Source organism: Homo sapiens, chromosome 5 (genome assembly GCF_000001405.40).
Source record: "Homo sapiens chromosome 5, GRCh38.p14 Primary Assembly".
Lineage (NCBI taxonomy): Eukaryota > Metazoa > Chordata > Mammalia > Primates > Hominidae > Homo > Homo sapiens.
In genome coordinates, this window is record NC_000005.10 from 67,267,596 (window position 1) to 67,273,291 (window position 5,696).

The 5,696-nt window shown below is 43.2% G+C and overlaps 1 long non-coding RNA gene across 1 annotated transcript; it reads left to right on the forward strand.

The window, feature by feature from the left end:
* Window positions 1–426: 426 nt before the first annotated feature.
* On the forward strand, window positions 427–2,587 carry TILRLS (TCL1A interacting lncRNA, retroperitoneal liposarcoma associated). The gene is made up of 3 exons (NR_186086.1): window positions 427–578; window positions 1,698–1,941; window positions 2,475–2,587. It is a non-coding gene; the product is annotated as a TCL1A interacting lncRNA, retroperitoneal liposarcoma associated (long non-coding RNA).
* Window positions 2,588–5,696: the final 3,109 nt, after the last annotated feature.

Here is a 5,696-nt window from a genome sequence, read left to right on the forward strand (position 1 = left end):
GTGATAAAGGGGGAGACCTGGTCTTTTCTGGCTTGGGCAACTGTGGGGATAGCAGACACATGCCTCAAGTTAGAGGATATGGAAAGATAAGCAGGCTATGGGCATGAGGATTATGAGGAGCTCTGTCTAAACTTGTTTTATCTCATATTTGGCATTTACTATATTTTTTGTTGTATTTTGTTACTCATCCTTTTAGGTGGACTCTGATCCTTCTGAGGTCCTGGATCAGATTAACCAACGTGGGTATGCCCCGCACCTTTCACTCATTACCACCCCTCAAAAGGTCACTTTGCCAAACATGAGTACATGGCCCCCACGCTAAGCCTGTGAGCAGCTGCAAGCCATATCATCTGCACAGTTGAGCACGGCAGGAACTTTGAACCAGGACCCAATTTCACCCTGAGGATGTGCTTCTCCTCTGAGGGGAGCAAAGCCCCTGGCTTGACCTGGCTCCCTTCTGGGAGGGAGGACCACGTCTCAATTTGACAGCAGGAGGCTGTAGGTCAGTGGGGTGATGACCTGGCCCTGGGAGACCTGCTCTTTCTCTCAGCAGAACCCCATAAATCCTTCAAAAGGAAGTAAGTAATTCCCTCGGGATCAAGAGAGCCCTCCGCATTCTTGAAATAAATGAAGGCAAAATGTACAGGGATTTCTGAGAAAAGTAAATGTGGTGTGAGCATGATCCCTGGGTGTTACTATGCACAGAAAAGGCTTTTTTTTTTTTTTTTTCCCCTCTCCTGAATGGTGTTCTTTGCTCTCAAGTGAACTCATGCACTGGATTTGGTCCAAGTACATTTTGTTTCTTGATTTCCAGCCAGGCTTCTCTCAGTTGTGATGCATTCTCTTCTTTGCTTCCCTCCTTCCCCAGTCCTGTTCTCTCTTTTTATAATGCTTTCAACTTTTCCATGTGACTGAACCAACACAGAGGAAAACCCACCAGCTTAGGTAGGGCTTCCACAAGAGTGGGGCCAGAGGGACTTCTTTGTGAACGGCCAGCCCCTCACGCAGCCCCGGCCTGCACGGCGAGGTTTGTCTGAGGCAGCTGAAGCAGAAAGCATTTGAACTCTGCCCTCTACCAAATGATTTCCAGATGTGTAAACCCCAGCCTCCCGCTGCACTCTGACTGTAGCCCTGCCAACGTACATCTGCAGATTCCTAGTGCACAGGAAACTTGAAAGAGTATCTTTACAACATCTGCTGTCTTTTCCCAGCTCTCCCTCTCTGCCTTCTCGGACTTTGCCCCGTATTTTATATCCTCTCTTCAACAAATCCATTAGAGAACTGCTGCACAGCCCTTCTTGGCTCACAGATGCCAGCTGTCTGTTTCACCCCAGAGCCTGTTCTTGGCTCTCTCAAGCACCACTAGAATCATTGACCGAAGCACCACTAGAATCATTAAAGAAGCTTATTGGGCTCATGGAGGGGAAAAAAAGGACCAAGTTTTCTCCATTGGATTGGTGCCAGTCTACAAGCTGCAAAGGGAGATTTAGCCATAAGGAGGTCAGAGCAGAGCCCTAAAGATGGAAACACGAGTTTGCATGGAGAGTTTGCCTGCTATACCTGAGAGAAGGTGAGGTCTGCTTATAGGGGGAACTTTTTTCCATGGACATTCAGTTTCTTGGAACAAACAAGGCAGGCTTCTGTAAAATGGGAAGTATTGATGTACAGAATGAGTTCCTTGCCTTCCCCTTCCCTAGGGCATGCTACCCATCAAGCTAAGAGGCCAGAAGAAGATCTTTTTATAATGTAACTCAAAGGAGGGGAGAAAAGAGCCAGAGACCCTTTTAGCATAATGGAGCAGATGATTTTTACTAAGGCGTGCACTCTCACCAGGGAAATGGCTTGATTGCTGTGTAAATAGATGCTTGACCTTCATCCTGCCATTCATCCATATGGACCCTAAACGCTCTCCAGCTCTATCCTAGGGGACATGGAATGGAGGCAAGTGTCAAAATCTTGGCAAGGAAAAGAGGGTGCACTATAGAAGGGAGCAGAGAATTGAATGGGCCTATGAGCTCAGGAGCCTTGGGGAGGAACAGTTATAGGTGAGAGGCCCCCACCTACATGGGACCTATGCCCTAAGCATGCAGGCCTACCTGGGAGGCAGTGAGCTAGCTGGGTTAGGGAAAACTGTTCCTTATTGCCACCCATGGTGGGTCTAGTGTGGCTTAAGAGGTGATTTTCTGGTCCCTGGTAAGACCGTCTCACCCTCTTATCTGCAGGACATAATAGTAAGTGGGTGACATTTATATTTTCGGCTTCAATAGTCCCAAACACTTTAGACAGACTGAGGCTCTCAGATGAAGCCCTATGACTTGGCTGACTTGCTGCCACAGTAGCCTCCCTATTTACAAAAACAAAATCCACCAAAACACATTGGCCTTGTACTTCAAGCAGGAAATATAAGAAAAACAAGGGGAAGAGATAAAGCAGGTTTTGGAATTCCTTTCCTTCACCCATATCTTTCCTTACAGGTTTTCCAAAGACATTGGAACACCCCTGTAGCCATAGTAGCTCTTTTTTAAAGAGGAGAGGAATCTGTAGATTCTTTCACATGAGGGTGGGTGAGTAAAAGTTAAGCAAACAATTCCCTTGTGCATGATTATTTAGCTTATGGTGAACCTATGGTTAACTGTGGAGCTCTGATACTCTGGCAACCTCCTAAGGGTAGAATGCAAACTCCATTTCTAGGCAGCATTGCTGATGATAAAAATGACCCCGATTGGTAGATTGCATCTGGACTGGGAGGAACCATAAACAAATCATAATATCTGCCAGGGACGCGATGCTTTGTGCTTCCCTGAAAGTGGTTACGTTTTTAAGGTGCATCTTGGGGCAATAAAAGCAATGTCTAGGGAGTTGTCTCAGGAGATATTGGCTCCTTTGAAGAGTGAGCTTTTTAATCAGGTTAGCCCTCACATCTGCCCAATGTGGAACTCATCCCTCATACCTGAACTGCCTCTGGGTGGAAGAAAATGCTGGATGGCTGTGAGTTGAGAGGATTTGAAATGGAACACAAAGTGTATTTGATACTCCTAAGCCCAGGGTCAGACAGATTCTAAGCTAGTCCTGGGTGATGATCTCTACCTCCTAGTATTGTATAATCCTTCCCCTCGAGTAACTTGCTTCTAACAGATAGAATATGCAATATTGAAGGTGTTACTTCTGTTACTAGGTTACAAAAATTGTGATTTCTGTCTTGTTAGCAAATTCTTTCTCTTATTGGCTTTGATGAAGTAAGTTGATATGTTAGAGAGGCCTACATGGCAAAGAACTGAGGACACCGTATCGTTCACAGTTAGCAAGCAACCAGAGTCTTCATTCCAGAGCCTTTGAGGAACAAAATCCTGCCAAAAACCACATAAGTGAGTTTGGAAGCAAATCTTCCTTTAGTCAAACCTTCAGATGAGATCTCAGCCCTATCTGACACCTTGGTTGCAGTCTTGTGAGAGTCTAAAAGTAGAAGTCTAGCTAAGCTCTCCCTGCATTCTTGACTCTCAGGAACTGTGAGATAAAATATATATATATATTATATATATTATTTTAAGGTGATAAATTTTAGGGTAGTTTGTTACTAGGATGACCAACAGTGTTGGTTTGCCTAAGACTAACTCAAGACTGTCCCAGTTCTGGCACTGATAATCCTGAGTTCCAGTAAATCCCTCAGCCTTGGACAAACTGGAACAATTGTTACTCTATTTGTGATAGACAATTAGTACATATATGCATATGTTATTTCTCACTTAAGCAAGTGTATCTTCAAGATAGACTCCTAGAAGTGGGTTTTTGGGGTCTAAACAGTAAAGTCACCTAGAATTTTATGTTTCTAAATTCCCCTTCATAAGGTTTGTACCATTTTGTACTCCCATCTGCAAGATGAAAATGCTTGTTTCTCCATGGTCTGCTGTTTTCATTACCAGTTTATTTGATAATTAAAGCAATTTAATCTTTTATTATCTAAGTGTAAGCTGATTCATAGTCTCTTAGAATAAAGAAATACATTTAAACATTAATTAACACTTGTAGAATTGAACTGCATGATTTATACTTTATTTCGATGAACGCATTTCACTGAATATACTGAGAAACAAATTTAACTGAATGTAGTCAGACTGTCATTGTGTGTGTGTGCATGTGAGTGTCTCCTCCACCTCCTTCCCCCGTAACTTGGTCTCATATAACTGATTGGTCTTTCAATTTCATAATCATTCTGTTACTCTATCATGAGTATAATTAGCTCAAATGCCATGTTTACCTTCAGTAGTGGATTAGGACACCAAAAGAACATGTGATGTGGTAGAAGAAAAGGTAGTGGTTTGCGTGGACCCTTTTGTGATTGCTAGCAGAGTTGCAAGTTCAAATGTCTATATCGTCAGGCAGATAACTCAAGGAAACGAGCATGGGTAGGTTGGGAAGCCAGTGATCTGTATAGCATATGCCCTGTCTAAGCAATCAATTGCAGCCATCCTGTGGCCAGGGAGAGATGCAGCCCAGTTTGCTATTGCAGTTTTTCAAGATAAACTGGGATTAGAGTTTTAGGAAATCTTCAATTGTGACTCCTTACAGCAGAAAAAGAAGAACACAAGATTCAGCAAAAACCATATCTATAGGCCGGCACTGATCTGCAGGCTGCCAGTCTGGAGATGTGGAAATGTGGAAAAGAGAAAAATAAATCAGCGTTTACTGAGCACCTGTGGGCCATTGTTTCTCACCTAATGCTGGGATACATGCATTATTAACCTAATTTTCTGATCAGGACACTGACGCTCACAGAAGTTAAATAACTGGTCTAAGATAATCTAGCAAACCAGTGGCAGATCCGTGGCCAAGTCTTTAGATCCCTAAGTCTCTATTCTTTTCACTCTACCAAGCCATGGTTGGCACCCTCTCTGGTGTAAGTGATCTTTCAGTTTTCTTTAGAAAGCATGTTCCAGAGCTGAAATAAAAAAGCAATATCCCCGTTCCTCTTAACTTTGTTATCCAGTGGCATAAACCACACAGATACACTTGCGTTTGCAATTGTTTGGGAAGTGTTCTTGGGTGGTTCCCTGGGCAACACTCCATGGAGTGTCATCCTCGGTGTGTGTACAGTGGCTTGTTTTCAGCTGGAAGGGCAAGGAACAAAAATCTTTCAGTTTTTATTTCCCCTGTACTGGTTTGAACCCCCTTCTAAGAACCATTATGGGGATGAAGGAAATGCAAACACAGGTATAATTAGATTCTAAGCCCAGCATAGATGAGTGGTTCTGCCTTAGGCCCTGTGCCTGGCAGGGCTTGCGATTTTGTTTATTAGCCTCCTGTTTATAGTCCCGGCATTCCCCAGATTACTTCCCCGTCAGTCTGGGAGGTGGTATGAGTGGAGGATTTGTGAAATGGTGTGAACGGGGCTCTTGTAAACAGAAATGATGATGCTGAGAAGGTTCAGATCCAATGGCAATCAGTTATACTAGCTGCTGGTCCTCTTTGCATTTTATAACCTAATGAGGTTCTTTTATTATTTTTATCATTTCTTTCAGTTATTCTTTCATAAATCTGCTTTTGAGCTCTTCAATCAGCAATTCTCCCTATTCTTCCCACTCATCTGGGGCCTCATTTTTTTTTTTAAGGTTTTGGAACTTGTACCTTTATCCCTGTTTTGTAGATTTAATTATGTTTGCAATGATTTGGAGAAAATTGTCTGCATTCTTTATAGTCCA